The sequence below is a fragment of the Homo sapiens genome, chromosome 18 (genome assembly GCF_000001405.40).
Source record: "Homo sapiens chromosome 18, GRCh38.p14 Primary Assembly".
NCBI classification, from domain to species: Eukaryota; Metazoa; Chordata; class Mammalia; order Primates; family Hominidae; genus Homo; species Homo sapiens.
The window spans coordinates 46,047,361-46,074,307 of NC_000018.10; the positions used below are offsets into that span (position 1 = coordinate 46,047,361).

At 45.5% G+C, this 26,947-nt stretch overlaps 1 protein-coding gene across 1 annotated transcript in view, besides 8 other annotated features; it reads right to left on the reverse strand.

Annotated features, from left to right (window-relative positions):
• PSTPIP2 (proline-serine-threonine phosphatase interacting protein 2) overlaps positions 1-24,900 on the reverse strand; it is an 88,725-nt gene extending 63,825 nt beyond the window's left edge. The window contains exon 1 of the mRNA NM_024430.4: positions 24,796-24,900. Within this exon, the coding sequence (NP_077748.3) occupies positions 24,796-24,828 (33 nt within the window). The 5' untranslated portion in view covers positions 24,829-24,900. The remainder of the gene's footprint in view (positions 1-24,795) is intronic.
• Positions 16,381-16,430: an enhancer, noted in NCBI's record as "active region_13265". NCBI's record gives its function as "activates an Ori minimal core promoter by ATAC-STARR-seq in GM12878 lymphoblastoid cells {active_cell/tissue: GM12878}" and the evidence as "EXISTENCE:reporter gene assay evidence [ECO:0000049][PMID:35858748]".
• Positions 16,491-16,690: an enhancer, noted in NCBI's record as "active region_13266". NCBI's record gives its function as "activates an Ori minimal core promoter by ATAC-STARR-seq in GM12878 lymphoblastoid cells {active_cell/tissue: GM12878}" and the evidence as "EXISTENCE:reporter gene assay evidence [ECO:0000049][PMID:35858748]".
• Positions 23,386-23,485: an enhancer, noted in NCBI's record as "active region_13267". NCBI's record gives its function as "activates an Ori minimal core promoter by ATAC-STARR-seq in GM12878 lymphoblastoid cells {active_cell/tissue: GM12878}" and the evidence as "EXISTENCE:reporter gene assay evidence [ECO:0000049][PMID:35858748]".
• Positions 23,526-23,585: an enhancer, noted in NCBI's record as "active region_13268". NCBI's record gives its function as "activates an Ori minimal core promoter by ATAC-STARR-seq in GM12878 lymphoblastoid cells {active_cell/tissue: GM12878}" and the evidence as "EXISTENCE:reporter gene assay evidence [ECO:0000049][PMID:35858748]".
• Positions 24,436-24,815: a silencer, noted in NCBI's record as "silent region_9416". NCBI's record gives its function as "represses an Ori minimal core promoter by ATAC-STARR-seq in GM12878 lymphoblastoid cells {active_cell/tissue: GM12878}" and the evidence as "EXISTENCE:reporter gene assay evidence [ECO:0000049][PMID:35858748]".
• Positions 24,805-25,306: an enhancer, noted in NCBI's record as "H3K4me1 hESC enhancer chr18:43652131-43652632 (GRCh37/hg19 assembly coordinates)". NCBI's record gives its function as "activates a minimal SCP1, AML or CMV promoter by ChIP-STARR-seq in naive H9 embryonic stem cells {active_cell/tissue: H9 hESC(naive)}" and the evidence as "EXISTENCE:reporter gene assay evidence [ECO:0000049][PMID:30033119]".
• Positions 24,856-24,905: a silencer, noted in NCBI's record as "silent region_9417". NCBI's record gives its function as "represses an Ori minimal core promoter by ATAC-STARR-seq in GM12878 lymphoblastoid cells {active_cell/tissue: GM12878}" and the evidence as "EXISTENCE:reporter gene assay evidence [ECO:0000049][PMID:35858748]".
• Positions 25,036-25,195: a silencer, noted in NCBI's record as "silent region_9418". NCBI's record gives its function as "represses an Ori minimal core promoter by ATAC-STARR-seq in GM12878 lymphoblastoid cells {active_cell/tissue: GM12878}" and the evidence as "EXISTENCE:reporter gene assay evidence [ECO:0000049][PMID:35858748]".

Sequence of the window (26,947 nt, forward strand, 5' to 3'; positions counted from 1 at the left end):
TCAGGAGTTCGAGACCAGCTTGGCCAGCACAGTGAAACCTCGTCTCTACTACAAATGCAAAAATTAGCCAGGCATGGTGGCACGCGCCTGCAGTACTCAGGAGTGCTGTAGCCTGTAGCTACTCAGGAGGCTGAGGCAGGAGAATCGCTTAAACTCGGGAGGCAGAGGTTGTGGTGAGCTGAGATCACGCCACTGCACTCCAGTCTGGACAACAGAGCGAGAATGTGCCTGAGGCAGGAGAATCGCTTGAACGTGGGAAACAGAGGTTGTGGTGAGCCGAAGTCACGCCTTTGCACTCCAGCCTGGGCAACAAGAGCGAAATTCCATCTCAAAAAAAAAAGACCTATCAAATTATATACTTAAAACATGAGTAAGTGTTCTTCAATAAAGTTGGGAAAAAATTTTAATCACCACTTGGCAACTGTCTTAGCAATAATTGATTAAGGCAAGAATTTTCCATGGATGTTAAGACTAATGGATTTAGTATTCATTTGAGAAGAAACTGGATATTTACATGGTTTCAAAATATTTCCCCTGAAGATACTTATTAATTATAAAGGGGGAATCAGTAATTTCACAATTGAGAAACCTAGAAAATAACACTATGCTAGGCTAAATAAGAGCCCCTAAAGATGTCCACATCCTGGTCCCTAGGACCTGTGAATATGCTTCCACACATAGCAAAAAGGACATTGCAGATGTCATTAATGTCTTGGGATGGGAAATTTTCCCTGGATTATTCAAGTGGATCCAACCTATTTACAAGGGTCCTAAGAAAGAGCCAGGAGGGTCATAGAGTCAGGATAGGAGATGTCAATGACAAATACAGAGGCCAGAGAAAGAGATTTTAAGATGCTACACAGGTGGCTTGAAGATGGAGGAAGGGCCACAAGGCAGTGAGTACAGGCAATCTCTAGAATCTGGAAAAGTCAAGAAAAGAGATTCTGCCCTACAACCTCCAGAAGGAGCCAGCCTTGCTGACAACTCAATTCTAGCCAAGTGAAACTCACTTTGGACTTATGACCTCCAGAACCATAAGTAATAAATCATCTTGTTTTAAGCATAAGTCGGTGGTAATTTGTTACAGCAGCAACAGAAAGCTAACACAACCACCTTGACCAAAGGATCAAAGTTAACACCACCAAGTAATAGGGCAAATAAGCATCACGTGCCTTCTGTTACTGAGATTGACACAGCATCACTCCTGCCTTGTTCCTCCCAAAACACATGGCCTGAATCTAATCATCAGGAAACGGGCAAACTCAAATCAGGGCACATTCTACAAAATAACTCTCCCATACTCTTCAAAAATGCTAAATTCATAAAGACACAGAGAGACTGAGGAACTATTCCAGGTTAAAACAGACAGAAGAGACGTGGCAGCTAAATGCCATGTGGAATCCTGAATGGGAAATGTTTTCTTCTTTTGCTAGAAAGGACATTATTGCAACAACTGGGGAAATTTGAGTAGGGTCTATATATTAGCTAATAGCATTATATTGATGTTATTTCCTGATTTGTCATTGTATTGTGATTGATTGTGTAATAAGAAAATATCCTTATATTTAGAAAATACACATTGAAATGTTTGTGGATAAAGGGAAATCATGCCTACTTCTTTACTTTCAAATGGTTCAGAAAAAAAGCATGTGTGTGTGTGTGTGTGTGTGTGTGTGTGTGTGTGTGTGTGTGTGTGGAGAGAGAGAGAAGGAGAGAGAAAGGGACAGAACTTTTGAGAAATCCAAGTGAAGAGCACATAGGAATTCTTTCTACTATATTTACAAGAGTAAATCTAAATTTCTTTAATTAAAAACATCAAAATTCAGCATAATAGCCAACTAACACAAGAACAGATAACCAAATACCACACGTTCTCATTTACAAGTGGGAGCGAAATGATGAGAACACATGGACACATAGAGGGGAGCCACACACTGGGGCCTTTTGGAGAGTGGAGAGTGGAAGGAGGGAGATGATCAGAAAAAATGACTAATGGGTACTAGACTTAATACTTGGGTGATTAAATAATCTGTACAACAAACCCCCATGACACAAGTTTGTTACCTATGTAACAAATCTGCACTTGTATCCCTGAACTTAAAATAAAAGTTTAAAAAAAAAAGATATTCAAACAATGTAAAAAGATGACAAATAAGGAGGAAAAAAGAGCAATAATATTTAATCAAAGATTAATGTGCATAATGAGCTCTAAAAATCAATCCCATAAAAATGAACAACCGGCCGGGTGAGGTGACTCACGCCTGTAATCCTAGCACTTTGGGAGGCCGAAGCAGGCGGATCACTAGGTCAGGAGATTGAGACCATCCTGGCCAACATGGCGAAACCCCGTCTCTGCTAAAAATACAAAAATTAGCTGGGCGTGGTGGCACGTGCCTGTAATCCCAGTTACTTGGGAGGCTGAGGCACGAGAATCACTTGAACCTGGGAGATGGAGGTTGCAGTGAGCTGAGATCACGCCACGGCACTCCAGCCTGGTGACAGAGCAAGACTCCGTTTCAAAAAACAAAACAAAAAAAAAGAACAACCAATTTTCTCAAGTGGGTAAGAGATATAAACAGGCAACACTCTAAAAAGAAAAACGGTCAGTAAGCAATTTTTAAATAAGAGAATCAATATTAATAATCAAATAAAGGCAAACAAACGAGATATAATTTTTCATCCATCAAATTAGGAAAGGTTGAAAATTTCTAACATTGGCAAGGAACTATAGGGAAATACTGTCAAATTCTACTGGCAGAAATGCACATTGGCATAATCTTTTGAGGAGGAAATTAGCAATATCCATTAAAATTTTAAATATGTATAGCCTTTGACGATGAGGAGTTTATCCTACAGAAATAACTACACAAACATGAAAAGATTTGTACACAAGGATGTTCAGTGCAGCATCATAATGACAAAAAACTGGCCAAGTGCAGTGGTTCACAATCATAAACCCAACACTATGGGAGGCCAAGGTGGGCGGTTCACTTGAGCCCAGGAGTTCGCGACAAGCCTAAGAAACATGGCAAAACCCCATCTCTACAAAAAAATTTTAAAAATTAGCCAGGCATGGTGGCATGCACCTGTGGTCCCAGCTACCTGGGATGCTAAGGTGAGAGGTCGAGGCTGAGGTGAGCTGTGATTGCACAACCGCACTCCAGCCTAGGCAGTGGAATGAGACCCTTTCTCAAAAAAACAAAATAAAATAAAAAAGATAATAACAAAGAATTGGAAGCAACCTAAATATTCAGCAATAAAGATTATTTAAATAAATTATGTACAATCACATGATGGAAAACTGAACAGATATTAGAACAAAGCAGAATTGTATACATTAACATAATGATACAATATATCAGGAGAAAAATGAAAGTTATATATATGAGCCCATTATAAATGAGTTCATACTTGTTAATGTACAGGTCCACTATATGTAACTGCAAAGAAAGGGACACACCATACATGTAGTAGTGACAATCTCTATCTCTGAACTGTGTGCATTCTTTTTTTTTTTTTTGAGATGGAGTCTCACTGTGTCGCTCAGGCTGGAGTGCGGTGGTGCAATCTTGGCTCACTGCAACCTCCACCTCCTAGGTTCAAGCCATTCTCCTGCCTCAACCTCCCAAGTAGCTGGGACTACAGGTACCCACCACCACACCTGGCTAATTTTTTGTATTTTTAGTAGAGACAGGTTTTCACTATGTTGGACAGGCTGGTCTCGTACTCCTGACCTCAGGTGATCCACCTGCCTCAGCCCAAAAAGCTGGGATTATAGGCCTGAGCCACTGCACCTGGCCTGTTTGGATTCTCATAACAAAAATTGAACATAAGGCCGGGTGCAGTGGCTCACACCTGTAATCCTAGCACTTTGGGAGGCCAAGGCAGGAGGATCACTTGAGGACAGGAGTTCAAGACCAGCCTGGGCAATGTGGTGAAACCCTGTTCCTACTAAAAATACAAAAATTAGCTGGGTGCATGGTGGGCACCTGTAATCCCAGCTACATGGGAGGCTGAGGTGGGAGAATCACTTGAGCCCGGGAAGTGGAGGTTGCAGTGAGCCAAGATCGCGCCACTGCACTCCACCCCGGCTACAGAGCAAGACTCTGTCTCAAGAAAAAAAAAAATTGAACATAAAACTGAAAACAACACAGATTATTTTCTATTATGTATGTTAAGGTCATGGCTTTTTGAAAGACCATTATTCCTGGAAACTTAACATAGAAGGCATAAGAGTCAGTAGATTTCAATGTTCAGAAAGTTGGTTAATGTTTGACATTACCCATCTAAACATCAACATGATCCAAATCCCAGAAAAGCCCCAAACCCCCAGGGACATGAGAAATTCAATTCACAATTCCATTGAAAGAGAAAACCTGAGAATTGAAGTAGGTGTTTTAATTCACAAACATTCAACCACCTCTGAGTGTATTACTGAAGTTAATGTTCAGACTTTTCCAGTTAATAAAAAACAAGTTGAAGTTCTGTTGGATATCCCTGAGAGGTGAACAACCACATATATCACAGGGTAGAATTAGTGATGCATCATATTACCGGGCAAATCAGTGATGCGTTCAAGATGTGTGAAATGCAGACCCCACGGGTCTCCTCCTGATCCATGGCATTCCCTGAGAACCCCTGGGCATGCCCAAGACAGGAGCGGGGAGGCAGGCAACTGCCAGGAAGTGGCTATACCCAAAACTGGAACTAGGTCCGCAAATATGGGACCAGAGGAACAGAGTGAGACACCAAACCTCAGCAGCTCTAGAAAGCAAGCCAGGTCAAACAACAAATGTGCTGCCACTACTGTCAAAAGCAAATATAGAACTAGGAGCTAGGAACTTGAACTAGGTCAAACCCAGGGGAATGTCCAACATTGCTTCACCAGCTGACTTGTGTTCCTTTTCACTCCAAGTACAACGTTTAGGCCCAACCCATAGAAATTCCAAACAGCTTCTGACTACTATGTCACATCCCTACCACAATACAATTTTGAAGGTCTTTGATCTCTATCAGCTAGCCTCTAGTTGAGCCAGATAAGCAAAGTACAACAAATATTGAAGGCTTATGACACCATATAACTTTGAAGACCTAACCACAACCCTGTAAAGGCTGGGATGCATTTCACAGCTGCTAACTGGGGAACCTTGGCTTACCTCTTTATCCCAAGAAATTGCAAGTTAATAGAAAATGTTTAATGTTAATTTAAAAAAAAAAACTTTTTCTAAGGTAAAACCTGACCTCAGTGCATTCATTCCCATTCAGTTTCTCCCATCTTATCCATCTTCAAATCCCAAAGCATAATTGAAAGAATCCTCCAAAACAAATTCCCTTCTGTTCTTCACACTTGGATTTTCCCAGACAAAAGTAGATTTACAGTTTCTAATACTTTTTGAACCAGAAATGAATCAGTGTTCATTATCGATGAATCAGAAGGTACAATTACTAAGATTATCCCATCTCCTAAATGTTCTAAGTAATCAAAGAGTCTATTTACTTTCCTACAGTGCTCTAGTTTTAGAGTGCTAGGATATCAGAGGTAGAGTACATCTTGGAGATCAATCATATCATTAATTTCCATCTTTTTACAAATGAAAAAACAAACAAGCATAGATTGCAAGTTGACCAAAATCTTTAGACTCTTCATATGAACAAAAATACATAAATACAAAAAAGTAATCTCCAAGTTTACACATCAGACTGATTAACTTTGCCTCCGATAAGTAACACCAGTGTCCATTGTTTATTCCAAGAACTTTTCACCTTCCATGTCTCAGTGGGTCAGCCTTCTCCAATCCTTGAAATATGTGACTCTTGTTTCTACTTGCTATTTATAAAACTGACATTTTGTGTTGTCCTTGAGGTTTTTTTCCAAAGTTTTCATTTAAATTAAGTTTTAGATTAAGCTTATTTCTAACTTCACTACTGCCATTTCACTGAGGCCAGCCCAAGTTCAGTTTACTTCAGGTCCATAACTTATGGGAGTGAGGATGTTTTATATATTCAAATTTCAGAATTAAGCAAGTCTTAAATGTTAGGATTTTAGAAGCGACTTACAGGAAGTGTTTCTTTCAGTACATGTTCATCGAAGTCCAATGCCTTTTCTCCTCCTCTAACTTGCTGATTTTTTACCCAGCTTGATCTAATGAACATCTTACATGAGTTTTCAGCACAGCAGAGTATGCAAACATCTTGATGTGAAACACATGTGAAAATGACATTCAATTCAGCCAGACCATTAAGTCTGATTCATTGAAACTAAACCTCAACTAAATTGAGTTGAAAACTTATACCCACACAAACTTGCACACAAATGTTTATAGAAGCTGTAGTCATAATTGCCAAAAATTGGAAGCGACCAAGATCCTTCAATAGGTGAGTGGATAAACTGCTACATCCATACAATGGAACATTAATCAATGATAAGAAGAAATGAGCTATCAAGCCACAAGAAGACATGAGGGGATCTTAAATGCATAGCGCTAAGTAAAAGAAGCCAGTCTGAAAAGGCTACACACTGTATGACTCCAACTACAATCATATGTCACTCAACAATGGGGATACGTTGTAAGAAATGCATCATTAGGTGATTCTGTCATTATTTGAACATCACAGAGTGTAGTTACACAAACCTAGATGGTGTAGCCTACTACACAGTGAGGCTATATGGTATGGCCTATTGCTCCTAGGCTACAAACCTGTACGGCATGTCACTGTGTTGAATATTGTAGGCAATACTCACACTGGTGAGTATTATGTATCTAAACATATCAAACAGAAATGGTATAGTAAAAATACTTGTACAGAGGATGTTTTTAAATGGTACATCTGTATAAAGCAACTCCATTATTATTTTATGGGACCACCATCATATATGCAGTCTCTTGTTGACCAAAACGTCATTATGTGGCCCATGTCTACATATGACATTCTAGAAAAGGCAAAACTATAGAGATTGTAAAAAGATCATTGGTTGCCAGGGGTTTAAGGAAGAGTGATGGATGAAAAAGTGGAGCACAGGGGAATTTTAAGGCAGAGAAACTACTCTGTATGATACAATAATTGTGGATATATGACATTATTCATTTGTCAAAACCCATGGGACACAAAGAGCTACACCTAATATAAACCATGAGCTTCAGTGAATAATAATGTATACATACTGGTGCATAATTGTAACAAATATACCACATTAATGCAAGATGTTAATAATAGGAAAAATAGGGAGAACGGATGGGAAATCTGGGCTTGAGTTCAAGTTTTCTGTAAACCTAAAACCGCTCTAAATAATAAAACCTACTAATTTTTTTTTTTTTTTGAGACAGAGTCTTGCTCTGTCGCCCAGGTTGGAGTGCAGTGGCGCGATCTTGGCTCACTGCAACCTCTGCCTCCTGGGTTCAAATGATTCTCCTGCCTCAGCCTCCTGAGTATCTAGGATTACAGGCACGTGCCACCACGCCCAGCTAATTTTTGTATTTTTAGTAGAAACGGGGCTTTACCGTTGGTCAAGCTGGTCTCAAACTCCTGACCTCGTTATCCACCCGCCTCAGCCTCCCAAAAACCTACTAATTTTTAAAAATTGTTGAAAATGAGGCAACAGCATATTTTAGCTTTGTAGGTAATTAACAGAAACTAGTTTTTAGTGACTTGATCGTATCAGCAAATTGGCTCTTGTCAACTGATTTTCAGCAATTTGGCCAGTTCCTGCTTCCTACTAAAGTCGCACTGGTCTTTCTGTTCCTCTAACTGATCCTTTCCAGCCTCACTGTTATCTCTCCCCTTTCCCCTGACATCCAGAAGGCTAGCTTGACCTTACCACATCTCAATTCAAATGTCATCTCCATGGAGAAGTCCTCTATGGTCCCTCTGTCCCTCATACACATCCAGTGCCTCTCCCTCCAATCACCTAATGTGGTAGGTAGATAGTGACACCCTCTCCCAAAGATGTCCAAATCCTAATCCCTGGAATTATTAATAGTTAATTTGTACTTTGTATAGTCTCACTCTGCTACCCAGGCTGGAGTGCAGTGATGTCATCACAGCTCACTGCATTGGGCTCAAGTGATCCTCCCACCTCTGCCACCCCAGTAGCTGGGACTGCAGGCACATGCCACCATGCCCAGCTAATATTTTGTATTTTTTTCGTTGAGGTTTCATGATGTTGCCCAGGTTGGTCTCAAACTCCTAGGCTCAAGCGAGCTGCCTGCCTCGGCCTCCCAAAGTGCTAGGGTTACAGGCATGAGCCACTGTGCCCAGCCAGTGCCAACATTTGTGATTGTTAAGGCTAATAATGCACACAGCCAAATCCTCTCCAAAATAACTCTAACAGCTTACCCGCAATGACTAAATGCTCATTTCCTGCACCTTCCCCCAGTGAAAGATACTGACACTTGATATACTTTTTAAAACTTGCTAAAAGCAAAACTGTACAATTTGGACTTTTTTATTAGTAGTAAAGTATAAAAGTTCTCCATATTTTTACAATTTACTTTTAGACTCTCATTTGTCTACTGGAAAAATCACTTTTAAAAGAGGATTAGGAAAATAAAGGTAGAGAAAGCAGGCAAACAAGCTTCTACTCCACGGGAAAACCGAGTATTTTTAGACTGTATCTTTCTTGTTTAGTAAGTACCTAACTGAACTGCAGGTGCATTTTCTCACTAGGACAGCTTCTATAGGAGCCCCAAGCACAAACTTGCCCTCTCCCTTCTCTCTCTACAGCAGAGATGGGCTCCCCACAGCTCCACAGCCCTGCAGGGGCTGGGATGATGGGGAATCTGTGCTGGCTTCGCTTCTTATGTCCAGGTGGTCCCTCGGCAATGTAGATCCCTTAGCTGGTCTGGGAGTCTGTAGGAATTCCCTTTGCAAAATGGATCATCACTTATGTTCTCCAACTCCCCTCTCCAGGCTTTCCCTGCCCACCCCAAATCCATGCTTCCCTCTGTTGTGCCCTGTGCTTCCTTAAAGTACTCATTGGTCCAAAACGTCACCCTCCTCCAGGGCCCCTACTAGGATGAGGCATGGTCGTGCATGTGCAGGGTTCAATTCTGTCTTTCTTTACAATTTTGAGGGGCCAGGCGTGGTTGCTCATGCCTGTAATCCTAGTGCTTTGGGAGGCCAAGGTGGGAGGATCGCTTGGGCCAGGAGTTTGAGACCAGGAGTTTGAGACTAGTCTGGGCCACACAGCAAGACTCTGTCTCTACAAGAAATTTTTAAAATAGCAGAGCATGGTGGTGCACACCTGTGGTCCCAGCTACTCCGGGGGCTGAGGCAGGAGGCTCACTTGAGCCAAAGAGTTCAAAGCTGCAGTGAGGTATGGTTGCACCACTGCACTCCAGCCTGGGCAGAAGAGTGAGACCCTGTCTCTAAAGAAATAAAGTTTTGATATTTTGTTCCTGGAAGGGTTTTTCTCATTAACTTTGTTTTTTTAAAATATTACATTAAAGAATAATTTATCTTGGCCAGATGCGGTGGCTCACACCTGTAATTCCAGCACTTTGGGAGGCCAAGGTGGGCAGATCACTTGAGGTCAGGAGTTCAAGACCAGCCTGGCCAACATGGTGAAACTCCATCTCTACTAAAAATACAAAAAAATTAGCTGGGTGCAGTGGTGGGTACCTGTAATCCCAGCTACTTGGGAGGCTGAGGCAGGAGAACTGCTTGAACCGGGGAGGCGGAGGTTGCAGTGAGCCGAGATCAGGGCATTGCACTCCAGCCTGGGCGACAGAACAAGACTCCATCTCAAAGGAAAAAAACTACTGAGGGTTTTTTTGGCTCCCCCTTAAATTTTACGTGCAAGGCAAGTGCCTCAGCCTAGCCCTGGCTCTGCCTGCGTCCCACTCAGCAGAGACCCCTCCCTCCCTCCACAGGGGCCTCCCTCAGAGAAAAGATTGCTTGGTCACATGAAGGTGCACATGACTTAACCACCACCTTTCTTGGGAGACATTTAAAACTATTTTTTCTTTTCTTTTTCTTTTTTTTTTTGAGGCAGAGTTTCACTGTCGTCACCCAGGCTGGAGTACAATGGCGCAGTCTCAGCTCACTGCAACCTCCACCTCCCAGGTTCAAGCGATTCTTCTGCCTCAGCCTCCAGAGTAGCTAGGATTACAGGCGAGCGCCACCACGCCTGTCTAATTGTTTTGTATTTTTAGTAGAGATGGGATTTCACCACGTTGGCCAGGCTGGTCTCAAACTCCTGACCTCAGGTGATCCACCCACCTCCATCTCCCAAAGCACTGGGATTACAGGCGTGCCCCACTGTGCCTGCCCAAAACTATTTTTTCTTAATTTACAGAATATCTCATTGTTCTATGATGAACACATTAGCAAAAAAGAAAAATCAAAAACCACCCATAGGCCAGGCGTGGTGGCTCACACCTGTAATCCCAGCACTTTGGGAGGCCGAGGCAGGCGGATCGTGAGGTCAGGAGATCAAGACCATCCTGGCTAACACGGTGAAACCCCGTCTCTACTAAAAAATACAAAAAATTAGCCGGGCGTGGTGGCGGGCGCCTGTAGTCCCAGCTACTCGGGAGGCTGAGGCAGGAGAATGGCGTGAACCCGGGAGGCGGAGCTTGCAGTGAGCGGAGATCGCACCACTGCACTCCAGCCTGGGTGACAGAGTGAGACTCCGTCTCAAAAAAAAAAAAAAAAAAAAATCACCCATAATCTTAAAAACCAGGTAAAATTTCTACTTTTATGTTTTTTAAAAAATACAAAACTCTGGGTCAGAGGAAGAGATGGCTTGCTAACCTGCCATTCCTTAGCATGATAATAAGTACACTTCTTCAACATCTCATGTAGACAATTACACTTGCCTACCTGTATAGGATGGGAGACTCCTGGAAAAGACTCTGAAAAGATCCTCTATGAGTAATTTACCCCTGGAGGTTGGGATTTGAAGGCTAAGGGAGGGATTTTTATGGTTTTTTACTCCATATACATCTGTATTGTTTTGATATTTTACAATAAGCATGTGTTATATTCCTAGTTTTTTTTTGTTTTTTGTTTTTTTGAGACAGAGTATCACTCTGTCGCCCAGGCTGGAGTGTAGTAGCACGATCTCGGCTCAGCGCCACCTCCTCCTCCCGGGTTCAAGCAACTCTCCTGCCTCAGGCTCCTGAGTAGCTGGGACTACAGGGGTGCGCCACCACACCCAGCTATTTATTTTTTGTATTTGTAGTAGAGACGGGGTTTCACCGTGTTGGCCAGGCTGGTCTCAAACTCCTGACCTCGTGATCCACCCACCTTGGCCTCCCAAAATGCTGGGATTACATGCATGAGCCACTGCACCTGGCCCTACATTCCTAGTTTTTTAAGGTACCAATAAAAATGAAAAATAAATAGCTCATGGAATCCATAGGCGGTTCTCTCTGCTTAAAGGCAGGGGTGCTGAGGAGAGGTCTCGCTGCAAGATAATTGTCATTAGGCAGGTCCTGTCACCAGCGGGGTGGGACCCTCTGTGTCCTCAAGGGAATGGTTGTGGCCTTGCCACAGGCAGGTGGCCAGGACCTAGGACCCTGGACACTGCCTGGGAGGCTGGTCCACTTCCATCTGGGTTTGGGTACAAGTTGCAGGTTTGGTATTTTTTGTATTCTATGGTCTGAACAAGTATACTTGCTCTTCTTTTAATACTTTAGGGGGAAATCCTCTTAATTCTTTTTTTTTCTTTTTTTCTTTTTCTTTTTTTTTTGTGAGATAGGGTCTCCCTCTGTCGCCCAGGCTGGAGTGCAATGGTGCGATCTTGGCTCGCTGCAACCTCCGCCTCCCAGGTTCAAGTGATTCTTCTGCCTCAGCCTCCTGAGTAGCAGGGATTACAGGCACGCACGACCATGCCCAGCTAATTTTCATATTTTTAATGGAGACAGTGTTTCAACGTGATGGCCAGGCAGGTCTTTTTTTTAATTTAAGACAGAGTCTCACTCTGTCACCCAGGCTGGATGGAGTGGCACGATCTCAGCTCACTGCAACCTCTGCCTTCCAGGGTCAAGTGATTCTCCTGCCTCAGCCTACCAAGTAGCTAGGATTACAGGTGCCTGCTACCACGCCCAGCTAACTTTTGTATTTTTAGTAAACACATGGTTTCACCTTGTTGGCCAGGCTGGTCTGGAACTCCTGACCTCAAGTGATCTGCCTGCCTCAGCTTCCCAAAGTGCTGGGATTACAGGCGTGAGCCACCGCGCCTGGTCTTATTTCTTTATTTTAAAAGTTATACTTATTTTATTGTTGAAAATTTTTAAGTATAGATTAAAAAAAAGAAAATAATATTTTTCAAAGTGTCTAAAATTCCAGAGAAAACAATAGTTGATATTTGCTATGTAATCCTCATATATTTTCCTAGTGACATATGACTGTCTTCATTTTTTGTTTAATAAAAATGAGGTCTAGGCTGGGCGTGGTGGCTCACACCTGCAATACCAGCACTTTGGGAGGCCAAGGCGGGTGGATCACCTGAGGTCAGGAGTTTGAGACAGCCTGACCAACATGGTGAAACCCCGTCTCTAATAAAAATACAAAAAAAATTACCCGGGCGTGGTGGCACATGCCTGTAATCCCAGCCACTAGGGAGGCTGAGACAGAAGAATTGCTTGAACCGGGGAGGCAGAGGTTGCAGTGAGCTGAGATTGCACCATTGTACTCCAGACTGGGCAACAAGAGTGAAACTCCGTCTCAAAAATAAATAAATAAAATTAAAATGAGGTCTTGTTTTCCAAATTGTTTAATAACTTTCTTTTAAACTTAATATTACAAGTGTCTTTCCTGGTGTTTGTTTTAAATCGTCATTTAAATATCTTTATAATATTATTATATTTCAAATATCTTTCCTGGTGCTTGTTTTAAATCATAATTTTTAGTGATTAGGGACTCTATTTCACTATGGTATTTCACTGCAATTCCTTAAATTTTTGAAAGTGATTTCCACTCATCATTTTCATTCATTATCTAAATTTTTAAAAATTAATTTAACTGCAAAGAAACTAGTCTGTGGATATACTAACACATTACCCACAATTCCACCTCCTTAACACAACTATGACGTACTTTATCATTTGAAACACATTGTAGTCCTAAAATTGGGCTTGCCAGATATCATTATCCTCACTGCACAACAGGAAGCTCAAGTCCAGAGTGGTTAGCTGGGTGGCACTGGACAAGTCACTCATTTAGTCTGAGTACAATAGCGTGTAGACCCCAAATGACTCCTAATAAAGGTAGGAGAGCTGTGGCTGCCATTGGCTGGTGGCCTTGCCCTCTCCATTTTCTGTTCTCTCAGAATCAATCACAATTCCCTCTAAATGGCTGCAGTCTTTGTACACTCAAACTTTACATGGCAGGGGAGGGTGCTGGTCTTTCCAGGCTTCCAGCTTCCCCATGTGAGGCTCCGCCCAGAGGACTGGTTTCTTTGCCCTCTGAGAGCAGACAGGCTTCTACAATAACTTGCTGAGCCCTTTGGCCTTGGGCTTTTCTGCTTAGTTTCTGCAGGGAAGGGCCATGTGCTCACAGGCAGGTGCCTTGTACTCTATAGTACTCTATCCTTGACATCAATATTACATTACTAATTGACAATGACACGTATAAAACAGCAGAGATGAAATGGTCAGTGGTTGGCAGATAAGAGGGAATGCACCAATAGATGCACATTAATAAAAAATCATACAGGAGGCTGGGTGTGGTAGCTCACACCTATAATCCCGGCACTTCGGGAGGCCGAGATGGGCAGATCACTTGAGGTCAGGAGTTCAAGAGCAACCTGGCCAACATGGTGAAATCCCATCCCTACTAAAAATACAACAATTAGCTAGGCATGGTGGTGCGTGCCTGTAATCCCAGCTACTCAGGAGGCTGAGGCAGGAGAATCGTTTGAACCTGGGAGGCGGAGGTTGCACTGAGCCAAGATTGCACCACTGCACTCCAGCCTGGTCAACGGAGCGAGACTCCATTTCACCAAAAAAAAAAAAAAAAATCATATATGAAGTTCATGACCAAAATGAGGCTGCTTCGCACTGAGAAACAATAGCTCTAAGTCAAAGGAAGCAGATGAGATGGAGATTCGGAGGACCTGGCAGGAGCATCAAGGTCCCTTATCCACAAACTTCCTGCCCATGCTGCCCAGGGAAAAGCAATACCAGTCTGTATCAGCCAGGGAGAGGCCTGCCAGCCAAGATAGTGGCTCTGGGCTGTGGTTGGTCACAGTAAAGGTCAACCACTCTTATGGGCAGGAACTAGACAAGAACGCTGATTAAATAGTTAGGCCCTAACATAGGACAGGTAGATGAGGAAACCTGAGCTTGGGACAGACAGCCCACAGGACAAATCAACAGTGCCCAGATCTGGCCATCTGCGGAAGTGCTGACAAAGGCCTGAGTCAATACTTTTTATTCCTGAGAGCTTAGGTCTTTTTGAACCCCTAGTTCAGTCCTTGTAGGGCAGGATCTGGATCTCCTGGGACAGAGAAAACAATATCTGTATTTGATAATAAGGGCTCAGAGCAGATTACAAGAGGTGGGGCCACCAAGGTTTGAAGCAGTGAAGGGACTTAGATGCCCATATTTCTAGGGTTTTCGAATATTTGTGGCCACTTATGAAACTATCACTTCCAACAGCTATTCTTTCAATAGTAACATTCAAATAGAAGCAGAGACCAAGCACTATAGGGCAAGTGTAAAGAGGACACACCATGGAGACTGCTTTCTCTGGCAGTTCAGCTTGCATGCCTCACTCAGCAAAACTAAGCTCAGAAGTTAGTTAGGCTCCTGCCCTTTAGAAGGCATGTGCTTCAGATAGGGATGGGGTCTCAGTCTCCCTACCCTGAACAGCTTATTCAAGTCTTCCTTCCAGCCTTCCAGCCTTGTGCCACACCATCCCCTCCCTGAGAGGTATTCTGAAAACAAAGATTTCCCCATCTTGTTGCATGCCTGGTGCCATTTTAGCACTCTTCAAGGAGTGGTACCCTATCGCACTCACCCAGCCAGACTTGTCCAAGAATCTTGCCCTGGTATGCTAGGCATGGTGGCTCATGCCTGTAATCCCAGCACTTTAGGAGGCCGAGGTGGGTGGATCATGTGAGGTCAGGAGTTCAAGACCAGCCTGGCCAACATGGTGAAACCCCATCTCTACTAAAAAGAAAAAGAAAAAGAAAAAGAAAAAGAAACTTGCCCCAGTAAACCACTTTTTTTTTTTTGGAGACGGAGTCTCGCTCTGTCACCCAGGCTGGAGTGCAGTGGTGCAGTCTCGGCTCACTGCAACCTCTGCCTCCCAGGTTCAAGCAATTCTCCTCCTGAGTAGCTGGGACTACAGGCACATGCCACCACACCTGGCTAATTTTTTTCTACTTTTAGTAGAGACGGGGTTTCACCGTGTTAGCCAGGAAGGTCTCAATCTCCTGACCTCGTGATCCACCTGCCTTGGCCTCCCAAAGTGCTGGGATTACAGGCAGGAGCCACCATCCCGGCAGGTAAACCACTCTTTTTAGCCTGAAGGAGAGTAGGTCAGTCTGTTTCCCATTAGTGTCCTACATCTTTGTTTGCTTCCTTAAGAAGAATGTAGGACCCTGAGGGCAGGAATCCACCTCCTCCTCATTTTGCAGGTCCACACAGGTCTCTGACTTCTGCAAATGTCAGAACACTTAAGCCCTCATACTCAAAAGACAGTATTTTTAGTGAGACAGCGTCTTGCTCTGTCATCCAGGTTGCAGTGCAGTGGTGTAATCACGGCTCGCTGCAGCTTCAACCGCATGGACTCAAGTGATCCTTCTGCCTCAGCCTCCTGATTATCTGGGACTGCAGGTACTGGCCACCATGCCTTGCTAATTTTAAAATTTTTTTTGTAGAGACAGGGTCTCAATATGTTGCCCAGGCTGGTCTTGAACCCCTGGACTCAAGCAATTGTCCCACCTCGGCCTCCCAAAGTACTAGGATTATAGGCATGAGCCACAGCGCCCAATCATAAGACACATATTGAGTAAAACTTGGACCACAGAAAACCTCGAAGTGTAATAGAAGAAATCACAAAACTTTAGATCAATAAACTTGACTGTATAAAGTGTTTTCAAAATCCATATACATATATCATTTTACAGATGAGGAGGCAAAGCTGAGGAAAGCTGAATAATTTGAACACGGGCACACACATTCTTTGGCTTGAAAGGAGCCAAACTGGGAATCAAACCCGGGAATGTCCAGTGCAAAAGCTTGAGGGCCTGAGGACTGCCTCTCACTGTGTCATGCCTATACTGGATGTTAGAACATGTGAATTACACACACACACACACACACACACACGTGTATATATACAAAAATATATATTTTAAAATATGCATATAAATTTACAAGCAAAGCATGAGGAAGAAAACAAAACCATTTGTAAAAGAGGAATTACAAGAAAATAACCAAATGTGCACTCTCCCTGGTGATAAAAACGCAAATGAAAGTTGAATAAGGCACCAAGTTTTGCTTATTGAATGAGCAGAAAAAAAGACAATAGCTATGACTGACAGAGTGAAACTAGCATCCGCACATACTATTGGGAACACTGAGAATAGGCCCACTCTTTAGGAAATCATCCTGGTTCTACATATCAAAAGTTTTTCAATGTCCTTCTGTTAGTTAATGGTTTTTTCAGTCATTCAGTAGGTATTACTGAGAATCTGTCATGTGCCAGGCATTGAACCAGGCACCACTGGAGTAAGCAGACAGGAGTGTGGGTCCTCACCCCAAGGGCAGCCATGCCAGCCCTGGAATGACCAATCAGGGGCTTGTAGATGAGAGAGAAATAAACCTCTTCCTTGTCTAGGCCACTGTTGTTTTGGGGTTTTCTATTACTTGCAGCCAAACTGAATCCTATTTATACAGAAGGTAAGTGAGCTTTCACCAGCTGCTCTGGTTTCTTTTTTCTTTTCTTTTTTTCTTCTTTCTTTTTCTTTCTTTTTTTTTTTTTTTTTTTTTTTTTTGAGACAGAGTCTCATTCTGTTGCCCAGGCTGGAGTGCAGCGGAGTGACCTTGGCTCACTGCAACCGCCCCCTCCCAAGTCCAGGCGATTCTCCTGCCACAGCCTCCCGAGTAGCTGGGACTACAGGCACCCACCACAACACCTGGCTAATTTTTTTTTTTTTTTTTTTTTAAGTAAAGACGGGGTTTCACCATGTTGACCAGCCTGGTCTCCAACTCCTGACCTCAGGTGATTCACCCGCCTGGGCCTCCCAAAGTGCTGGGATTACAGGCATGAGCCACCACGCCCAGCCCTGCTGTCTGGTTTCTTAATGGAGTAGAGGCAAGATCACCAAAACACAGTGAGAATGTGGGAGGGATGTGTAGGTTTGAGTGGAAAAGGCATGAAATTATCACTGCAGAAAGGGCAAGAGTGACTTATTAGAGAAACATAGTAAAATGGCTGGGCAATGATGAGTTCTGTCTTGAGTTTCCAGAAATAGATACTTAAAGAATCCCAATTTTAAATACCTTACACGAATGACATGCACCACATTCTTTATTATAGAAAACACTGGGCCGGGTGCGGTGGCTTATGCCTGTAATCCCAGCACTTTGGGAGGCTGAGACAGGCAGATCACCTGAGGTCAGGGGTTCAAGACCAGCCTGACCAACATGGAAAAACCTCATCTCTACTAAAAATACAAAATTAGCCAGGCATGGTGGTGCATGCCTGTAATTCCAGCTACTTGGGAGGCTGAGGCAGGAGAATTGCTTGAACCCAGGAGGCGGAGGTTACAGTGAGCCGAGGTCGTGCCATTGCACTTCAGCATGGGCAACAAGAACGAAACTCTGTCTCAAAAAAAAAAAAAAAAAAAAGAAAAGAAAAGAAAAGAAAACTCTAGAAATTACATAAATGCCAAACAGTGACAGAATAGTTGTATCACTCACAAAACTTTTCTAAATAATTGTTAGGGAAAGTAGATAGCAATATATAAAATAAGTTATAATTTTTTTTTTTTTTGAGATGTAGTCTGGCTCTGTCGCCCAGGCTGGAGTGCAGTGGCATGCTCTCAGCTCACTGCAAACTCCGCCTCCTGGGTTCAAACGATTCTCCTGTCTCAGCCTCCCAAGTAGCTGAGTACAAGTGCCCACCACCATGCCTGGCTAATTTTTGTTTTCGGTTGTTTGTTTGTTTTGAGACGGAGTCTCACTCTGTTGCCCAGGCTGGAGTATGGTGGTGTGATCTTGGCTCACTGCAACCTCCGCCTCCCGGGTTCAAGTGATTCTCCTGCCTCAGCCTCCCGAGTCGCTGGGACTACAGGCACCCACCACCACGCCCGGCTAATTTTTGTATTTTTAGTAGAGACAGGGTTTCACCATATCGGCCAGGCTGGTCTCGAACTCCGGACCTTGTGATGCACCTGTCTCAGCCTCTGAAAGTGCTGGGATTACAGGCGTAAGCCACCGCGCCCGGCCAATTTTTGTATTTCTTTAGTAGAGACGAGATTTCACCATGTTGGCCAGGCTGGTCTCAAACTCCTGATCTCAAGTGATCCACCCGCCTTGGCCTCCCAAAGTGCTGGGATTACAGGCATGAGCCACTGTGCCCAGCCAAAGTTACGATATTTTAATTAAAGCAGTAGAATACAAGATAGTACAGATACTATAGGATTATAATTATGCATGGAGGAAAAAAGTTGGGAAAGTACCAAATCACTAATAATATATATTTTAATAACCTTAATTTTATGTTAATATTAAAAACTATTGGCCAGGTGCAGTAGCTCATGCCTGTAATCCCAGCATTTTGGGAGGCCAAGGCAGGCAGATTGCTTGAGCTCAGGAGTTTGAGACCAGCCTAGGCAATATGGTGAAACAGCGTTTCTACAAAAAATACAAAAATTAACCAGGCGTGGTGGCATGTGCCTGCGGTTCCAGCTACTTGGGAGGATTGCTTGAGCCCAGGAGTTTGAGGCTGCAGTGAGCCGTGATCGCACCACTGCACTCTAGCCTGAGTGACAGAGCAAGACCCTGTCTCAAAAATAAATAATTTAATTAAATTAAAACTACTGTTTTAAAATTTCATGTTGAGACTCATCTTCTTGAGTAGCTAATAATCTCTTAGAGGTGAGATGTTGTGTGTCTGTCTCTCTGTGAGCCCACAGCAGCTACCACAAGGCTGGCCACTCAGACTTCACATAGACATTTGCTGAGTTGAACTGCCTGAGATTACGTGGGGAATGGAGAAGAAGTTCCTCTCTTCAACAAGTTGCTGTGTTTTCTCCGTTGGTCACAAGGTCTCTCACCAGAAGGTGAGCCCCACGTGTGTGGGCTTTGTGCTGCACCCCTTCTTGAGTATAGGGCTTCTAAAGAAGCCAGAGCCCGTCCTTAATGATATTCTCCTCATGCAAGACCACCAGCCAGTCACAGCAGAACAGTTTCTTTAAAAGGGTGGAACAGGCCGGGTGCGGTGGCTCACGCCTGTAATCCCAGCACTTTGCCCAGGCGGGCGAATCACCTGAGGTCAGGAGTTCCAGACCAGCCTGCCCAACCTGGTGAAACCCCCGTCTCTACTAAAAATACAAAAAATTAGCCGGGCGTGGTGGCGCATGCCTGTAATCCCAGCTACTCGGGAGGCTGAGGCAGAAGAATCGCTTGAACCCGGGAGGCAGAGGTTGCAGTGAGCCGAGATCTCGCAACTGCACTCCAGCCTGGGCAACAAAAGTGAAACTCCATCTCAAAAAAAAAAAAAAAAAGAGGTTTTTGACGATTATTTTAAAGCTAGCTCCCTCCGGCTGCTCTACAAAGAATGTATGGGAGAGCAGGTAATTGTTCATGACTCTATCTTCCCTTTTGCCACTAGGCAAGACAAAAGGAAACAGCCCTCCTGGTGTGTTTCTGGGGACCAGATTGTCAAATTAAATTCGACCTAGGCTGGGCGCAGTGGCTCACTCCTGTAATCCCAGCACTTTGGGAGGCCGAGGCGGGCGGATCACGAGATCAGGAGATCGAGACCATCCTGGCTAACACGGTGAAACCCCGTCTCTACTAAAAATACAAAAAAATTAGCCGGGCGTGGTGGCGGGCCCCTGTAGTCCCAGCTACTCAGGAGGCTGAGGCAGGAGAATGGTGTGAACCCAGGAGGCAGAGCTTGCAGTGACCCGAGATCGCACCACTGGACTCCAGCCTGGGCAACAGGGCGAGACTCTGTCTCAAAAAAAAAAAAAAAAAATGTTGGCCTAAAGCTGCCTCCATAAATAGCAAGCCACAACCTAACTTAGTGTGTAAACAAACCGTAACCTAACTAAGAGTATATTCTTGTAACAAGTAGCTGGGTCTCTGCCAATCATAACAGGGGAGCTTTCAGCCAATCCCAGGCTGCAGACTGCCCAGTCAAGTCCAAATAAGGCAACCACCCAGGTGTAACCAATCAGGCTATTTCTGTATCACCTCTTTTTTCTGTAAGTATTGCCTGCCCACTTTTGCCTTGTGGAGCTCTCTGAACCTTTACTGGTTCAGGGTGCTGCCTGATTCATGAATAGTTTCTTTGCTCAGATAAACTCTGCTAAATTTAACTAGTCTGAAGTTTTTCTTTTCATAAAATCCGAGAGAGTATTTAAAAATTACAGCAACAATCTAAACATTGTACAAAATACACTATGGGGTCAGCAGGGAGACTCTGTGGTGTTAACCTGTATTCTTTCTGTATTTTTTTTTTAAAGCAGCCTCCTATATTTATCTAGAGCACTGTACAGTCAGTTCTCCATATCTGCATCCATGGATTCAACCAACCACAGATGAAAAATATTCCAAAAATTAAAAAATAAAAATATACCAATTAAAAAATACAAATAAAAAATACAGTGTAAACAACTATTTACATAGCATTAACATTATATTAGGTATTATAAGCAATCTGGAGAATACTTAAAGTATACAGGAAGATGTGTGTAGGTTATATGTAAATACTACACCATTTTATAGAAAGAATCTGAGGACAGGCATAGTGGCTTACACCTCTTTTTTTGAGACAGATTCTCGCTCTGTCGCCCAGGCTGGAGTGCAATGGCACGATCTCAGCTCACTGCAAGCTCCACCTCCCAAGTTCACAGCATTCTCCTGCCTCAGCCTCCTGAGTAGCTGGGACTACAGGCGCCCACCACCATGCCCGGGTAATTTTTTTGTATTTTTAGTAGAGACGGGGTTTCACTGTGTTAGCCGAGATGGTCTCGATCTCCTGACCTCGTGATCCACCCGTCTCAGCCTCCCAAAGTGCTGGGATTACAGGTGTGAGCCACCATGCCCGGCCGGCTTACACCTCTTATCCCAGCACTTTGGGAGGCCAAGGCAAGAGGATAGCTTGAGGCAAGGAGTTTGAAACCAGCCTGGCCAACATAGCAAGACCCAATCTCTGTATTGAAAAAGAAAAAAGAAAAGAAAGGACTTGAATGTCCATGAATTTTGGTACCTGCATGGGAGTCCTAGAACCAATCCCCTACAGATACCAAGAGATGACTGTATAGAGAAAAACCATTGAGCAAAGCCAGAGGCAACATCAGTTCAAACTCTGCTAAGGCTCCAGAATGACAAGATTCCAATCTGGTAAAAGGTTTGGATGAGAGTGACAGCCTTGTGTTGACAGCAGGGCAATGAGCCAGTTCAGACAGCCCCAAGACTTTCCCTAGTCAATCCCAGGCAGAGAGAAGCCCTGCCCACTACAGGAACAGGGTTGCTGAAACAGCAACTAGGAAGCTGGTCTACACCAAGAACCTTGGGAATCAGGAAGGCCCAGGAAAAATAAGTATCTACAGGAGGTTCAGGGACGATTTGGACCTCACACCCAAGTGAGAAGCCTGGAAATCCCCAGGGGTGAGAGAACACTGCTTTCATCTACCCTTCCAAAACGGGTCCCACTGTCACCCGTGCATGCCCGTATCTGAAGGACACTGGTGTCTGATCATCCCAAAAACTGGAATTTTTTCTCATTGTGGCCTGGCTGTTTCCCTGGATCTTTGGAAACTGTGGTCACTGTCTTATTCTGACAAGATACAATCAAAGTTAACCAAGAGAAATTATACAGCACTGCTTAACCAAAGTGCCACAAAGAAGGTATAAACAGGGAAGGGTGGGAGAGAAACAACACACAGGTATGTACCAATAGCAGGCAAATTCATTGGGGGCCAATCCCAGTTTTATTCATTTATTTTAAAATGATTTTTAGAGACAGGGTCTCACTATGTTGCCCAGCCTCCTTAGTAGCTGGGACTACAGGCACACGCCAGCTCCAAGCCCAGTTTTAAACACTGATTATTCCCTTTTGAAGCAGATTCATCGAAGATTTCTTTAAATAAATATTTTCATGAAGCATTTAAATACATTCATTTATGAAGTGTGTATTGACTCATACTTTTTCAGGAACATGTACAAACACGTTTGACCACAGTCCTCTCACCTTCCTTGGAATGTCCCTCTCTTGGGCCTGTGATAGCTCTTTCCTGGTTGTATCCCTTCATCTCTTCCTCTATTTCTCTGTCCCCTTTCTCCTCCTCCATCAATAGAGGCATGCACTAAGAGTGCTTCTTTGTGGACTTCCGATCTCTTCATTCTTTCTCCTTGAATAACCATCACTCACTTCTTTTACTTGTCACCTCTACTGCTGATAATAATAGCTGGCAACTATAGGTGCTCTCTGTGTGTCAGGCACTGTACTAAACTCTCAAGTTTAATCCTCCCAACGGTCCTAAGGAGTAGACACTGTTATTATCCCCATTTTTATGTATGGAAAAACTGAGGCTTGGGGGCGGAAGCAGGCTGCCCAGGGTCACCTAGCTAGTAAGGGGCAGAACTGGATTCAAGCCCGGGCAGCCCACCTCAGAGGCTTCATGCTGTTCGGTAAGCTCTCAAAACTGGACATCTTCCCAAGGGGCGGGGCCATCTCCACCAGCCCCTCAAACCCTGCATGTCACCCACCAGACATTAGAGAGTACTCACTGACATGTTTGTACTGGCTGTGAAGATATTAAAATACTGCAAACTCTGTGGCCTGGAACCCTGTCTTCACCCTGTCACCCTCTCCGCTAAGACCTCCCCGTATCCAGCATCCCTGGCATGGGGCTGAGGGGTGGAGGCTGGTGGGGAGGGGCTTAGCGCCCGCCTGGCCTTAGCCTTGCCAGTGCTAAAACTGTGGCTAAATACTGAGGATTGTGTTGTTTGGTTGGGTTTGTTTGTTTGTTCGTTTTTGAGACAAACACAAATCACTCTGTCGTCCAGGCTGGAGTGCAGTGATGTGATCATAGCTCACTGCAACCTCAAACTCCTGGCCTCAAGCAATCCTCTTGCCTCAGCCTCCCAAGTAACTATATCTACAGGCATGCACCACCATGCCCAGCTAATTTTTAAGATTTTTTTGTAGAGACAGACAGAGTCTCACTATGTTGCCCAGGGTGGTCTCGAACTCCTGGCCTCAAGCAATCCTCCTACCTCGGCCTCCCAACGTGCTGGGATCACAGGCATGAGCCACTGTGCCTGAACTAAATACTGTTAGTATCACGTCTGCCTCCTTCTCCTTATGTCTCCACGAACCAGTTCCTCTGCTGACTTCCTTATTTCTGGGGCCCACATCTCATTCTCCAGTTTGTATTATACAGAGCCTTTTTCCCACAGTGCCTGCCATGGGATCCCCCAGTCCTCCATTCTACCTGAAAAACTCGCAAGCCTCCCGTGAGAGCCATCTGTGGTGCCCTTGGTTCCTCTGTGAGGCTGCCACCACCCTGCACCCTAGGGTGAGTAGTGCCCCAGAAGGACCTCACAAACTCCAGTGAAGGGACTCACAGGCACAGTCTCAACTGTGTCCCTGAGGTCCCCAGCCAGGTTTCTCTACCCTGCAGCCCACGTGGGGTAGAGGGACCATCTAGGCAGCTGTGAAGCTACCTGGGTGGGTGGTGGGGGGAGGCAAGCAGGAGCCCCAGTAAGGAGTCAGGGCCCCTTGGCAGCTGCGGTCAACTTTGAGGTTTGCAGCCTCCTGCTCCTGTCTTAAAGGGATGAGGACAGCTCCTCTGAATGAGGGGGCATGGACCTTGAGGGGCACCTGGGGAGTGAGAGGACAGAGGGAAGAGGACTAGACAGAGGAGGGGGACAGGCAGACCTGCTCCCTCCAGGCTGGGCTGGCCCTACCGGGCTGGGTGGGGTACCCCCTCCAGCTTATAGGGTCTCCCACACCATCAGCCCCGCTATGGGGCCTGGACGGAAGGGCTGGGGCAATGGCCTGGGGAGGGGGCTCGGGAAACAAGGCTGTAGAACAGGGAAAGCTCCAGCAAAGGGAAGCCCTCTATGCTGTACGTTTCCTGGAAAGGACGATCCCGGGGGGCAGCTGCTGCTGTCAACCCGGTAAAGCTCACAAGCCCCCACACCAGATCCCCCCAGATCCTCTCACGGCTCAGCTCCAGGGACCGGCAGAGACTCTCCCCGGACGGGTCTCGCCTCCCTAAGGGTCTCTGCTTCGCCTGTGAGAGGAGGGGTTGATGTCCTGACTCTAAGGTGTCTCGGCTCTCTGCGTCCTCAGGAGCACGCGCTGCTGGGGGCGCGGGCGGCAGAGGGTGGGCCCTGGAGTCCGAGCCCCCGGGACTCGCGGGCACGCGGTGGGTAGCGGGGGACAGAGAGGGAACAGCAGCCCGGCGTCCGCTCCAAGTCTGCCCCTCGAGCAGTGGGGCTGGGGCCCCGATCCCTTCACGCGCGAGCTCCGCCAAGCCCCCGGGCGCGCGGTCACCGAGTGGCGCCGGAGCTGGGGAGCCCCCCACGCCCGCCGCGTTGGCCTCCCGCCCGGGCCGGGTCCTGAGCCCCGCGATCCGCTGTCGGCCCCACGACTTACCCAAAAGTTTCCCTTGAACAGTGAGCGCGTCATCGCAGCGCGAGTGGGGGCGCGGAGGAGAGCCGGGCCGCAGGTAGCACAGAGCGGGGAGGCCTGACTGCCACTGCCCGCGGCTCCGCAGACTCAACTTCTGCGTTCCACACTCGCGCAGGGAAGCCGCCCCCGGGTCCTAAACCACTCCCGATTGCGACGGCCGCCGTCGGCGCTCTGCGCTCCCTGCGCGAGACCTGGGCGGGACCCTCGGCGCTCACCCGGCCAGGGGCTGCAGCCCGCACCCGGACCCAGGCCCATTTAAAGCCCCACAGCGTCGGGCCACGATCAATATATCAGCCCGAAGCTAGCTGCCTCCTTCTGGAAGTCTTTGGGTATTGGAAATAACTGGTCCTGGCTTGGGTTCCTGCCCACAAGGCCCCCTGGACAGCACGAAATCCAGGCTCTGCGGGGTGATAGACGGGATCTGATCAGATGGTCGCGAGGACCCGGTTTAAGCTACAGAAGGCCTGGGGCCGACAACTCCCGCAGACGCCTTGGCTTCACGGCGGGCCCCACCGGCACCTGCTGCAGATCAGGCCCTGGGGGACGGTTCATTTTTTATTTTACTTTTTGTTGTTGCAGGTGTTTTTAATGAATGGGGTCACGTTTTAGTCTAAAATGTCATGGAGAGGTCATCTCTGCTGTTTCCCCTTGACTCTAGTCACTTGGTGGTGTCCTAACAGGGCTTCCAGGAGCTCAGCCGCTCTCTGACTCCCTTTCCATTCTCAAAAGGCAAGACCCTTCCCTGCCCATTCCACCCCAGCAAGAGGGGCCCAAGATTCCTTCTTCTCCCTCCACTCTTCCACCCTCACAAATAAAACCCCAGGGCAGGTCAGACCCCTCTCTGCATTGTAGTAGATTGGTACAAAAGTAATTGCGGTTTTTGCCATGACTTTTAATAGTAATGCAGGGCTTATGACAAAGTACTGCCTGGTGCGACAGGCCCGAAGCCCAACCTGAGGCCCAGAGGGGTTGAATGGCTTGCCCAAGATCACAGTTTATTTAAGGGATGAAGAGCTCAAGGTTAGAGCTCTGCCCTTCTAAATAGATGCAAAGACAGACATCCTTCCTGGGGCAGATCCATCCTGGGCAGAGGAATAGGTGCTCAAAGTGGGGAGGATAAAGGTCAAGGTTGCCAAGACTGGCACCAGCCCAGCCTGGAGAAGCAAGCACTCACCCCTGGAGCAGGTTCTAGCTACACCCAGACACAGTGAAAGGGCAATTGCTAGAATTATGTGAAGCACCTGGAACAAGTTCTGCTCCATAAAACTGCAGCCAGCCCCACTCAGATGAACTCCCACCAATAAAGTCATCCACAACTGCAAAGATGGAGAGGTGGCCTCCAGCCACCAAGCATCTCCAAGGGATGCATCCATTTACGTACTTGCTCATATCCTTTGAAAGCAGTGAGATTAGAAGGAAGGCAGAGAAGCCTGGCAGAACCATCAAGGGGCAGCAGAGGACGTGGTAGGCACTAGGAAGCTAGGCTTAACTGCAGGGGGTAAGAAATGGCACAAACTGGGGACATAGAAGCGGGAGAGCTGAAGACACCACTAAGGTTTTTCCTGGAAGTTTTAAATATTCTGGAAAAATAGTTTAGATACAATTCTAATTGTCACATTTTAATTTTTAATACATGTATAATTTTAAGTTATTAGAACGTTTCACAAGCTCTCACAGTACATTGTGCTTGATTTTCGCGACTCAGACTCTAAGCTCCCTGAATTTTAACCCTCTTCCGCCATCTGGTGACAAAGTTTTTAATTGCAAATGGTCATCCACGCTGCTGGAAAATATTCTTCATTCCTCAAACAGCTCATCTCTGGGGCAGGTATTGTGAGTAAAAAAACAAACAAAGTGTGTGCTATATCCAAGGGACATATTTAGGATATTTTACTAACTTCTGTGGTTTGAATGTTGCCCCCTCCAAGAATTCTTGTTGAAACTTAATCTGAAATGAGACAGTATTGAGAGAGGTAGGATCTTTAAGAGGTGATTGGGTCACGAGGGCCACTAGTCCCATTCATGGATTAATGGGTTAGTAGATTAATGGGTTATCAGGAGATGAAACTGGTGGCTTTATGCTTTATAAGAAGAGGAAGAGATGGCTGGGCACAGT